The sequence below is a fragment of the Homo sapiens genome, chromosome 20, assembly GCF_000001405.40.
Source record: "Homo sapiens chromosome 20, GRCh38.p14 Primary Assembly".
Taxonomy (NCBI): Eukaryota; Metazoa; Chordata; class Mammalia; order Primates; family Hominidae; genus Homo; species Homo sapiens.
Window position 1 is genome coordinate 3,458,523 of NC_000020.11, and position 13,078 is coordinate 3,471,600.

At 47.3% G+C, this 13,078-nt stretch overlaps 1 protein-coding gene and 1 pseudogene across 4 annotated transcripts in view, besides 2 other annotated features; one reads left to right on the forward strand and one right to left on the reverse strand.

Moving 5' to 3' along the window:
- TCEAL9P1 (TCEAL9 pseudogene 1) lies at positions 6,655-6,922 on the reverse strand (annotated as a pseudogene).
- Positions 12,083-12,222: an enhancer, noted in NCBI's record as "active region_17480". NCBI's record gives its function as "activates an Ori minimal core promoter by ATAC-STARR-seq in GM12878 lymphoblastoid cells {active_cell/tissue: GM12878}" and the evidence as "EXISTENCE:reporter gene assay evidence [ECO:0000049][PMID:35858748]".
- Positions 12,323-12,882: a silencer, noted in NCBI's record as "silent region_12621". NCBI's record gives its function as "represses an Ori minimal core promoter by ATAC-STARR-seq in GM12878 lymphoblastoid cells {active_cell/tissue: GM12878}" and the evidence as "EXISTENCE:reporter gene assay evidence [ECO:0000049][PMID:35858748]".
- The window catches only part of ATRN (attractin), a 180,101-nt gene continuing 179,518 nt past the window's right edge, over positions 12,496-13,078 (forward strand). For 3 of the 4 annotated variants that reach the window (NM_139321.3, NM_001323332.2, NM_139322.4), the window contains exon 1: positions 12,496-12,995. In NM_139321.3, the coding sequence (NP_647537.1) occupies positions 12,586-12,995 (410 nt within the window). In that variant the 5' untranslated portion in view covers positions 12,496-12,585. The remainder of the gene's footprint in view (positions 12,996-13,078) is intronic. The other variant, NM_001207047.3, reaches the window with a different exon arrangement.

A 13,078-nucleotide genomic window follows, 5' to 3' on the forward strand; every position in this document is an offset into this window, starting at 1 on the left:
CCATACATACATACGTACATGTCTCTTGAGCCGCTAAGTTCAGGCAGGTCTTAGATAGTAAATATGGGAAGAAAGAAAAACACAACTCACATTATTCAGACATAATCTGCTTGCCATGTTTCTCCTCTTCCTCTAAGACACACTCGAATGCCCCAGTGCTATGAAGCCGTGTCTGACCCACAGACACCGTAAGTGTGTGGCCCTCCTGGGTGCACTGACAGCAAGCTCATCTCTCTACAAGCCCCCGTGCAGTGAGCACTCCGAATCCTAATTGCCTGTTTAGATGTCAGTCTCTCACACTGAACTGTGAATGACTAGAGGGCTTATAAGCAAGCCCTTTTGCTTATAAGCACCCAGGCTAAGGACCAGCCCAACCAACCAGAGTGACAGAAATATGTTCCAAGGCCATGGAACTCAGGAGCAATTTTGTTCTGGAGGAGTTGAGCATGTTTCTAACGCCCTGTACTGTTTACTTACCCCCCAAGAGCCACCCTACATCGGGCATAATTGTAATTCGGGAGAGTTTCTTTAAAACATAAAATCATTTATTTATTTATTTATTTATTTATTTATTTATTTATTTATTTATTTAGAGACAGAGTCTCACTCTGTCCCCCTGGCTGGAGTGCAGTGGTGCGATCTTGGCCCCCTGCAACCACTACCTCCCAGGTTCAAGCGTTTCTCATGCCTCAGCCTCACGAGTAGCTGGGATTACAGGCTCCCACCACCATACCCAGCTAATTTTTGTATTTTTAGTAGAGATGGGATTTCATCATGTTGGCCAGGCTGGTCTTGAGCTCCTGGCCTCAAGTGATCTGCCCACCTCGGCCTCTCAAAGTGCTGGGATTACAGGTGTGAGCCACCGCGCCTGACCCACAACATGAAATCAATATCTAGGTGCAGATTTCAAACAATATAGAGAATTGGTTTGTGAGAATGACATCATTCAGTTGGAACAAAGTCCAGCTTTGGCAGCCCTGTTGGGAAAGGTAGATCTGGCATCTACCTGTGTGGAAAGCAGAGAGGATGCTGTCTGGAAAGAATGCTGGTGTGTGTGTGTGTGTGCGTGTGTGTGTGTGTGTGTGTGTGTGTGTGTGTGTGGCAGGAGGCTCTCGGCTCATACACTCTTTGTGACTATAGGGGAGGCTGGGCTTGACTTCTTGCCATCAGGCTCCTGAATCTCCAGAGATCTTGCGGAACTTTCCACATGAAAAAAACACCAAAAAACAAAAAATGACAGCCTCCCTTAAAATGCATATGGGAGACAGGGACTGTTGTCTGGGGACCCAGACTATGGCCACAGCCACAGACTTCAAAGCTGCCTCAAGCCTAGGACTCCAGCTTGTGGACATCTTGCAGGTCTGCTTTCTGTCCTCTTTGAACCTTGTCCACAATCAGTGCCCTTGGCCCTGCCTTGCTTGGGTTCATAGCTAAACTCTCCCTGTTCCTTGAGCCATTTTTGATATGCCAATCTGGCTGCAGTCTGTTTAACTTGGTAAACACTGTAATCTGGGCTATACCTCTAGTCACAGGCTTTTGGTCAGCTAGTTCTGCACACAGGGTTATGTGCCACCCTTCCCCCATCTTGGGGTTCCTGCCACAGTCACAGTGCAAGTGAACGCAAGAACCACTTCACCATAAAAAAGGCTGCTTCACTGCCAGTGGCTTCTCAGATAATGGGAGTTGGTGCCAGTGGCTTTGGCAGCAACATGAGATAGGGACCTCTGTGCAGGCATCAGAGGCCTTGATCACAACCTTGGCAGTGGTCTGTATCAGGGCCTTGAGTAAGCATGAGAAACAGAGATGGTGCTTTTGGTGGTGCCAGGACAATGTGCTTTGTTCTTTTTTTTGTTTTATTTTTTTGAGATGGAGTTTCACTCTTGTTGCCCAGGCTGGAGTGCAGTGATATGATCTCGGCTCACTGCAACCTCCACCTCCTGGGTTCAAGCAATTCTTTTTTTTTTTTTTTTTGAGACGGAGTCTTGCTCTGTTGCCAGGCTGGAGTGCAGTGGCACAATCTCGGCTCACTGCAAACTCCGCCTCCCGGGTTCACGCCATTCTCCTGCCTCAGCCTCCTGAGTAGCTGGGACTACAGGTTCCCGCCACCACGCCCGGCTCATTTTTTGTATTTTTGGTAGAGATGGGGTTTCACCATGTTAGCCAGGATGGTCTCGATCTCCTGACCTTGTGATCAGCCCGCCTCGCCCTCCCAAAGTGCTGGGATTACAGGCGTAAGCCACCGCGCCCTGCCGGGTTCAAGCAATTCTTGTGCCTCAGCCTCCCAAGGAGCTGGGATTATAGGCGCACGCTGCCATGCCTGGCTAATTTTTTGTATCTTCAGTAGAGTTGGGGTTTTGCCATGTTGGGCATTGCTTGTCTCAAATTCCTGACCTCAGGTGATCCGCCTGCCTCGTCCTCCCAAAGTGCTGGGATTACAGGCGTGAACTACTGCACCCGGCCAATTTCTTTAGTTAACAATTAGAATACTTATCTGTTCTTATTAGGAAAAAAACCAATGTCTTCCTCTTGAGACCCTCTCTTTTCTACTGAATAAACCCAAGAAATCTGGGGCTTATTAAGTCTAAAACAGCCAGTCCAGCTTCCAAACAAGTCAGCCAAGCCCAGGTTGTGTATCTAACTTGTGAAAAACAGGTCACCTGGAGGGGACACTGTCTGAGAGCCACCTCACATCTACATGGAGATGGCGCAAAGGAATGTTGCCAGTTGTGGCAACCGTGAAAATTCATCGTTCAGCTCTCCTGCCGTGGGGAGCGGAGTTGACTGGCAGCCCCAGCTGCTCCCCCTCCGGGTCCCCCACTGCGTTTGTGCTACTGCAGGCTGATTCCTGCAAGATGCTGCTGCTCTGACAGACAACTCTGGCTCCAGGACTCCCCACTGGCCTGGGAGAGCCTTCATTGAAACTGCACTGACATCTGACACTCTTCTTAACCAATCTTTTCTTCCCGCTTTCCTTCACAGCTGTCAGATTTTTATTCCTGTCTGAATCCTCTCTTGCCATTTCCTGTTTGCTTCCGCTTTATCCTTCACAGACATTTCCCCCAGTAAAGCCCTTGTATGTCTAATTTGGTTTTGGCATCTGTTTCTCAGTAGACCTCCCAGGCGTACATGGTGCTGGAGCTGGTTCCCACTGGCTTGTGAGGGCTGAGCCTATGTCTCTCTTTCCGATTCCACACTCAGTGACATCATGATGGGAGCTCGAAATAGGTCATGGTGGGAGTATTTACAACATAGAAATCAACTAGTGCTATGCATGAAGGCTTTTTCTTCTCAGTGAGCTGGTTGCTAAACATTTATGAGCAAACCTCTGGTATCTACCCAATAGAAATGTATGTATACTCACCAAAATACCTGTATTTGATTTCCAGATGATCATAGCATCATGATTCATAGTAATCTCAAACTGGAAACTGCCCAAATGTCCAGCAAGAGAATTAATCAATAAATTGTCATATCATGATGTGTGTATATAAGTTTCTATTTTATTTTTTTTAGACAAGGTTTCCCTCTGTCGCTCAGGCTAGGGTGCAGTGGTGTGATCACTGCAGCCTCAAACTCCTGGTCTCAAGTGATCCTCGTGGCTCAGCCTGTCAAGTAGCTTGGACTACTGGTGCATGCCACCATACTCTGCTAATTTTTATTTTTACTTTTGAGACAGCTTCTTGCTCTGTTGCTCAGGCTAGAGTGCAGTGGTACGATCATGGCTCACTGCAGCCTCGATCTCCTGGGCTCCAGAAATCCTCCTCTTTAGCGTCCTAAGTAGCTGGGACTACAGGTATGCACCATCGTGCCTGGCTAATTTAAAACAATTTTTCTTTTGTAAAGACAGGAGTCTTGCTATTGTCGCCTAGGTTGGTCACAAACTCCTGGCCTCAAGCCATCCTCCTGCCTTGGCCTACCAAAGCATTAGGGTTACAGCTGTGAGTCACCACGCTCGGCCCATAGTACTTTTTTTTTTTTTTGAGACAGAGCCCTGCTCTGTCGCCCAGGCTGGATTGCAGTGGAGCAATCTTGGCTCACTGCAACCTCTGCTTCCTGGGTTCAAGCAATTCTCCTGCCTCAGCCTCCCAAGTAGCTGAGGTTACAGGCACCCGCCACCATGGCCAGCTAATTTTTGTATTTTAGTAGAGATGAGTTTTCGCCATGTTTGCCAGGCTGGTCTCAAACTCCTGACCTCAGGTGATCTGCCTGCTTCGGCCTCCCAAAGTGCTGGGATTACAGGCATGAACCAGTGTACCCGGCCCCATTGTATGTTTATACCACGTTTTGTTTACCCATTCATCTATCTACAGACACCTGAGTTGCTTCCACCTCCTGGCTCTTGTGAATAATGTTACAATAAACATGGAAATACACCTATCTCTTCAAAATCCTGCTTTCAATTATTTGGGAAATATACCCAGAAGTGAACAGCTGGATCAAATGGTAATTCTATTTTTAACTTGTTGAGGAGCCCCCATACTGTTTTTCATAGTGGCTGCACCATTTTATATTACCACTAACAGTGCACAAGGGTTCCAATTTCTCTACATCCTCACCAACACTTGTTATTGTCTGTTTGTCTGACTTCTTTGTTTTTAGAGATGGGGGTCTTGCCATGTTGTTGCTCAGGCTGGCCTCAAACTCCTGGGCTCAAGCAATCCTCCTGTGTTCGCCTTACGAATAGCTGGACTACAGGCACACACCACCACACCACCATGCCAGTATTGTCTGTTTTTTGTGTGTGTTTGTTTTTTTTTTTTTTTGAGACAGAGTTTCTCTCTCTTGTCGCCTAGGTTGGAGTGTAATGGCGCGATCTCAGCTCACTGCAACCTCCGCCTCCCGGGTTCAAACGAGTCTCCTGCCTCAGTCTGCTGAGTAGCTGGGATTACAGGCATGCGCCACCACACCCAGCTAATTTTTGTATTTTTACTAGAGATGAAGTTTTGCCACGTTGGCCAGGCTGGTCTCGGACTCCTGACCTCAGGTGATCCACCCACCTCAGCCTCTCAAAGTGCTGGGATTACAGGGGTGAGCCACCATGCCCGGCCTGTTTTTTTTTCCTTTTCTTCTTCTTTTATTTTAAATACAAGCTATTCTAATGGCATGAGGAAAGAGAGGAATTTTGATATCCTTTTTCATTTCTGCCTCCCAGAGCATAGATCAGTGTCTGGTATACAGCAGCCACTCAAAAAATATAAGTTGCTTAAATGAATACATTGAGTGAATTGACTACCTGTGTAGTGTGTGAAGTGGGCTGAATGGTGGCTCCCCCAAAAGATTTGTCCATGTTCTAATCCTTGGAACCTCTGGATGTTACTGTATTTGGAAAAAAAGGTCTTTGCAAATGTTGCCAGGCACGTTGGCTCATGCCTGTAATCCTAGCACTTTGCAGGCCAAGGCGGTAGGATCACCTGAGGTCAGGAGTTCGAGACTAGCCTGGCCAACATGTGAAACCCCGTCTCTACTAAAAAAAATACAAAAATTAGCTGGGCGTGGTGACGGTTACCTGTAGTCCCAGCTACTTGGGAGGCTGAGGCATGAAAATCGCTTGAACCCAGGAGGCAGAGGTTACAGTGAGCCAAGATCATGCCATTTGCATTCCAGCCTGGGCAACAGAGTGAGACTCTGTCTCAAAAAAAAAAAAAAAAAAAAAAAGGCTTTGCGAATGTAATTAATTAAGGAGCTTGAGGTGAGTTCATCCTGGATCATCCAGGTGGGCCCTAAATCCAATAAATGTCCTTATAGGAGATACACACAGAAGACGGACATAGAGGGGAGGTGACGTGAAGGTGGAGGCAGATATGGGATTTGTGACCACGAGCCAAGGAAGCCAAGGAATGTGGACAGCCACCAGGAGCTGGAACAGGCAGGGAAGGGTTCTTCCCTAGAGTCTCCAGAAGCCTAGCCTGCTGATACCCTGATTTCAGACTTCTGGTCTCCAGAACTGTGAGAGAATACATTTCTGTAGGTTGGTTTTTGTTGTTGTTTTAAAACTTTTATTGTTTTTAGCAATAATCATGTGTGTTCATTTTAGGAATATGGAATACACAAGTAAGCAGATAAAAAAAATCTTTTATAATCCTCTGTGGAGAGATTGTACCTTTTGTCTTTCACCCTTCACGAGTTTTTATGTGCATATATGTGATATCCAAATGTACTCTTACCTTTCAAAAATGTTATTCACAATTGGGCATGGTGGTATGTGCCTGTAGTCCCAGCTACTGGGAAGGCTGAGGCAGGAGGATCGCTTCAGCCCAGGAGTTTGAGGCTGTAGTATGCGATTATCACATCTGTGAATAGACACAGCACTTCAGCCCGGGCAACGTAGCAAGACCCTGTCCCTAAAAACTAAAAAATTAAAATGATATTAACATATTACTTAGTAACCCTTTTTTCATTTTATATCCTATCAGGAACCTCTTTTTTTTTTTTTTTTTTTTTTTTACAAATGAGTAAATCTCTTCTATAAAAGAGATTTGAAGATTGGTTCAAATATGGTAAACAATGAGATATGGGTAAATGATGCATCTGAAGCCACTAACAGCAACAGGTTAAAAGTAGAAAGATGGACAAAGGTATATCAGAAAAATGCTAATAAAAAGAAAGTTATATAGCATTGTTAATATCACATAAAATAAAAATAAAAGTAAATTGCATTAAATAGGGGCAAGGATGGTTTTGATCAATTTTCCAGTACATCCCTATAAGTTTGTTTCTTACTCTCCTTATCTCGTCTATTTCATCCACTTCTCTAAACATATCTTCATTGCTTAAATGCCTCTTATGTACATCTTTATATTCTGGAGAGATGGAATTAGCTTTCTCTAAAAGTTCCTTCTGCATTTTCCTCCTCCTCTGGCTTTTCCTCAAAATTTGGTTCACTATTTTCTGGCCTTCCTTCCATTTTTGGACAGGGTTTCATCTCATGTCTGTGGGGCTTCTCTTTCTTCCTTCTATTCTTTCTTTCTTTTTCCTTCCTTCCTTTTGTTTTCCTTTCTTCCCTCTTTCCTTTCTTTTTTCCTGCTTATTCCCCTTTGAGTGCAATAACTTCTGGCACTGATCAGGTAAGTTTCTTTCTCCTCTTTGTCTAGCCTTGCATTGTGCTAAGAACAACAGACCTGCAAAATTCTCACAAGTTGACTCTTCCCTTCGTTGGCCCCCAGCACCTTGGCCAACACTGCTGAAGGAAGCTGGTACCCAGGTGGGAACAAGAACCAGACTAGTAGGACTTCTGCACTGTCAACTTTTAAATTTCTGTGGTTTTATGCCACCAAGTTTGTGGAAATTTATTATAGCAGTCACAGGAAACTAATATGTCATCTGTAATTAGGAGAAATTATAAGGGATTTTAATCCAAAAGGATGGCTTCAGTTTGGGAACTTCTAATTTGAAGTACTTCATGGCCATATTTAGCAAAGTCATTTGTCTTTTAACAGTAGTACTGTTTTCATAGTATCTTATCTATACACAAGAGAAAATTTTTGTTCTCTGTTGTAGAAATTTGGGGGAGGGGGCATGAATCTAGCTCATCCAATAGAAATTTCAAGTCTTCTGCCTTTAAATTGATGTGCTCATCCCAGTGCAGCGTCTTGTCCCTTGAGCTGACATAAAGGTGAACTCCTGTACTTGTGGGACTTGTCTGAGGAGGCCACCAGGAGCTCTGCCAACAGCTCAGAGGTATAACTTTATGCTCCCAGATCAGGGACTCCTAAACACTTTCTCTTACAGTCTGCCAAGGACTATTGGAATCTTATTGCTGGTTGGTTGACAGTGGGATATCCATTGGAGCTTTCAATGGCACTTTATTCCTACCTAGAACCCTCTCAGTTGTGTTTGTTCCAAACCTTCAGGATCAACCTCTTTCACAGGCAACGTAGTACCTTACCTTCTAGGTGAGATTTTAACACCTATAATTAGAGAATTGCTTGGTCACACATTGACTAAAAGTATAAGGATAACTTTGGGACAATAAAATGTATCGATGTTTCAAACAGTGCAGAATGAGGACCGGTGATGTTTGCGGGAAAGTCAGATGGTCAATCAGATCTTACTTGAGCAGTATTCAATCTTTGCTTTCTAGTAGGTATTTGATAAACAAACATTTGTTATATGTATTACACATACATGGAGCTATCTATTTGTATCTATTGGTACCCCTCCCAAATTTCCTTTATAGGATCCTTCTTACTGCTGTGAATGTTGTCTGCTGAAAGAGATGTGTGTACAAAATGCTGCTCCCTTACCTCAAAGTGGAATCAATTCTATGGTACAATTCATGCTCTAGGGCTCTCCATAGGATCAGGCTGAAGCTCAACTCTAGATAAGACCAGACCACATCTTTTCTCAACCCCCTCCTGGGCTCTATCTTGCTTCCTTCACTGTGTTTCTTCCGAGAGCAATCTTCCAATGAATTATGCACTCAGATCCTGTTTCAGGGTTCTGCTTCTAGGGAATCTGACCAAAGACACTGCATGAGTAAAAGCCAAAAATTATAAAATCCATCTATGTCCATGACTTGGAGACAATGCAAGCAAAGAAACAGGAAGAGATGACATGAAATCAGAGAAAGGGCCAAGGTGAGTAAGATGCCTTACTTAAGTGAAAAAGAATAGGCATAGGCACCTTCAAACCATCCTGCACTAACCTAGTGGAGACAAACCCTTTTGGTCATGCAGTTGGCAAGAACAATGTTATTTTAGTGTCTGGACTTAGAGTAATTTGTATCAAAGCCTGGGTATTCTTTGCCACTGGCATTACAGTTTCTGGGACCTGGAAATGACCACCATGACAAAGACCAGTGGAAAAAAAGGGATTTCAGGCAGAACTGCTGCAGAATCTTGCTGATAAGGCACTGGGGTACAACAGAGGCACTTCTGAAGCTACGGTGACTACGGTGACCTCCTTCATGAGAAGCAACTGGACAATGATACTAGTGTATTACATATAGATGACTAGTTGTAGATTATACATTTATATACAATTATACTGTCGTTCTTAATTCTTAATCAAGTCCACATCACAAGACTTATTCTTGTCCTTGGAGGAACCAGGGTACAGAGTATTCTGGTAATTTATTATTGTGTAACGAACTGTCCCCAGTTGGCTCATTTATTTGCTTATGTATCTGCAGTTTGGGGCGGGTTCAGCAGGAACAACACCCCCCTGCTTCATGATTGGGGCCCCAACTGGGAAGACTTGAATGGCTGGGGGCTGGCTTCCTCACAGCATGGTGGTCTCAGGGTAGCTGGACATCTTTTATGGCAAGTGTTCCAAGACACTTCAGGAGGAAGCTGCAAGACTTCTTATGACCTAGCATAAAGTCCCATTTCTGGGACCTCAGAAATCCCAGTACATCACTTCCACCATAGTCTATCAGTCAAGCAAATCACTAAGGCCAGGCTAGATTCAGAGTGGGGTGGGGGTGGGGGTGGGGGTGGGGCCGGGGCCAAGGGTTAGACCTGATCTCTCCATAGAAGGAATGTAAGAGAATTTGCAGCCATCTTTAATCTATCACACAGACATAGAATGTGTAGGGGACTTTTTGATAAACGCAGTAAAGGAAAAAGAAGATAGCAGGTAAGATTTTGTTTCTTTGTTTATTTGTTTTTAGAGACAGGGTCTTGATCTGTTGCCCAGGCTGGAGTGCAGTGGTCCAAACATAGCTTACTGCAGCCTCAAACTCCTGGGCTCTGTGATCCCCCTGCCCCAGCCTCCCAAGTAGCTGGGACTACACATGCACGCCACCACATCTGACTAATTTTTTAAAAAATTTTTTGTAGAGACAAGGTCTCACTATGTTGTCCAGGCTGGTCTCAAACTCCTGGCCTCAGGTGATCCTCCCACCTTGGCCTCCCAAAGCACTGGGATTACAGGCATGAGCCACTGCACCCAGCGTGTTTGTTTTTTAAGGACAAAATAATTTGAGCATGTTTGAAAGCTAAGGAAAAAGAACCAGAGAAGAGAGTAGATTAAGGAAGTAAGAAAGAATGTTTGCTGCAGCAAGATTCTAAGGCTTCAGAGTAGCAATATCTAGTCTAGGGATTGCTGTTCTTCAGATGCACACCTTTTCTGTTATCCCTGAATGTTGGTAAAATCATGTGAAACTTCACAGTGTGGGTTCAGTCTTGCTGTGGGGAGGGAAGGGAAGGAAAGGGCTGGTTCACTTCTGGCCTGGAAGATTAGGGGGAGCAATGTCTCCTACAGCTAGGGCATGGCCTATGCCAGCCTCCCCATCTGATGGGGTCCTGCCAGAGGGTAGGGCCATGTCTTCAATTTCAAAATCCTACATGGCAAAAACATAACCTGCAAACCAGAATGTCAGTGCTAGGGCCTAGGCCGAACAATAGTTTTCCTGTAGGAATGGGGAGTATGTGTGGATGTAGAGCTGGGGGTAAGGCTTTTGTGCAATTCAGCTTCACCAGGCTTGAAGAAGATGCAGTGAGGACAGTCAGGACCTGAGTATGAGAGTGGGACCTGGGTATGAGTGTGGAAATCCATCTTAGAACCTTAAAATTCCATACTCTGAGGTAAAGCTGAGAGGCTCCACAGGTCTATGAGGGTTTTTCTTTGTTTCCCAGGGACTGTAAGGTGCCCAGATTCTGAGGTAGGTGCCATAGGAATATTCCTCATAGCACAAGCATTATGTCGGACAATGTTCTGCTTATCTATTACTGAGTAACAAACCTCTCTAAAACTTAGAGGCTTAAAATAACATAAATCATAATTTATGAAAAATTATAAATAATTCATCACTTAAGGGTTAAATGATAAATGAGTTATTTCTTAGGATTTTGGATAAGTCACAGTTAGGAAAGACCTGTTACTGTTGTAGGTAACATGGAACAGCCCAGACGGTTGGAATAACCCAACCCAGATAGCTTCTTCACTCAATGACTGATCCCTTAGCTAGGATGGCTCCACCAGCTGAGCGGCCCAGCTCTCCCTCTCCAAGTCCAAGTGGTCTCTGCACATGGTTTCTCTCCAGCAAGGTGGCTAACGGGGTGCAGCTCATGACCACCAACAGCTCAAAATCAAGGCTGCCAGGTCTTTTTTTTTTTTTGAGACAGAGTCTCGCTCTGTCCCCCAGGCTGGAGTGCAGTGGCGCGATCACGACTCTCTGCAACCTCTGCCTCCTGGATTCAAGCGACTCTCCTGAGTAGCTGGGATTACAGGTGTGTGCCACCACGCCCGGCTAATTTTTGTATTTTTTGTAGAGACAGGGTTTCACCACGTCGATCAGGGTGGTCTCGAACTTCTGACCTCGTGATCTGCCCGCCTCGGCCTCCCAAGGTGCTGGGATTACAGACGTGAGCCACCGTGCCCGGCCAAGGCTGCCAGGTCTTTTTTAAGCTCAGAGCTAGAAACAAGACATTGCTACTCCTACCAACTTCTTCTATTGGTGAAATTGAGTCATGGTTTCTCATGGTCTCAATCATGACCCAGCCCAGATTCCAGGGTCAAGGACCATAAAAGGCTACATTGATGGAAGACATGTCTCATTGAGGGACACCAGAGTAACAACTACCAGACAAGAAGGGGCAGGTCTGTGTGAGCGCCATTTCCTAATTCTATATTGCCCACTCTTCAGAGAAGATGGTTGGAGGGCAAATTGTGGGGAGCAAGGTAACTCCAAACTTTTACAGAATTAAAGGTAGGGGGTCTGGTCAGCTACAGTCCATCTGTTATCAAGAGGCCTGGCTGTGTGTCTTCATTCAGTTTATTAGGCATTTACTGAGCACAGCCTACATGCCAGGTTCTTCATTTTTTGACACAGGGTCTTGTGTTGCCCAGGCTGGAGTGCAGTGCTGCGACTGCGGCTCACTGCAGCCTTGACCTCTCCAGACTCAAGCGATCCTCCTGCCTCAGCCTCTGGAGTAGCTGGGGATACAGGCGCGCACCACCATGCTCGGCTAATTTTTGTATTTTTAGTAGAGACAGTGTCTCACCCTGTTGGCCAGGCTGGTCTCGGATCCCAGAGATCAAGTGATCCGCCTGCCTCAGTTTCCCAAAGTGCTGGGATTACAGGCGTAAGCCTCCGCGCCCGGCCTATGCCAGGTTCTACATGTGTTCTTTCTTGACTCTTGTGTTACAGAGGCTCGAATGAAGCCTGGCTTCTACAGTACCGCACCCAGCACCTCGCTGCGATGCAGCCTCCTGTACCCTTTCCGTCCGGCAGCTGGAGTTAGGGCAGAGTGCCGGGTCTCTAGGAGGGCAACACTCAACGCAGTCGGCTCCTAGGCATCCAGTGGGGCTGCAACCCCGCCGCCGGGGACGAAAGGCGAAGGGGGAAAACTAGAGCTTTCGCCGGCCGGGACAGCGCAGCCGGGTTTCAGCTCGTTCTACGGTCCACGTCAGAAGATCGCCTCCGGCGCCGCGGACGCCGGAGACCACTGTCTGCGCCCCCGCACGCACGCACCCACGTACTCGCGCACGCGCGCGCCGGCCCCGCCCACCGCCCCGCTGTGGCCCCTTTGGACCGCACGAGCCACCGTCCGCACAGCCCCGCCCCGCACGGCCAGGCGAAGCGGAGCCGGCCGTGCGGTGTGTGTGTATGTGTTCGCGGGGCGCCGTCTCAGCCCCGGGAAGATGGTGGCTGCAGCGGCGGCAACTGAGGCAAGGCTGAGGAGGAGGACGGCGGCGACGGCAGCGCTCGCGGGCAGGAGCGGCGGGCCGCACTGGGACTGGGACGTGACCAGGGCTGGGAGGCCGGGGCTGGGGGCCGGGCTGCGCCTCCCGCGGCTGCTGTCTCCACCGCTGCGGCCACGGCTGCTGCTGCTGCTGTTGTTGCTCTCGCCGCCGCTGCTGCTGCTGCTGCTGCCCTGTGAGGCCGAGGCCGCGGCGGCGGCGGCGGCGGTGTCGGGCTCAGCCGCAGCCGAGGCCAAGGAATGTGACCGGCCCTGTGTCAACGGCGGTCGCTGCAACCCTGGCACCGGCCAGTGCGTCTGCCCCGCCGGCTGGGTGGGCGAGCAATGCCAGCACTGCGGGGGCCGCTTCAGGTGAGTGGCGGGTGGTGTCGGAGGGTCGGGTCCAACCAGAGGCTGGGGCTGAGGGGCGTTCGAGACGGCTCCAGGTCAGAGGG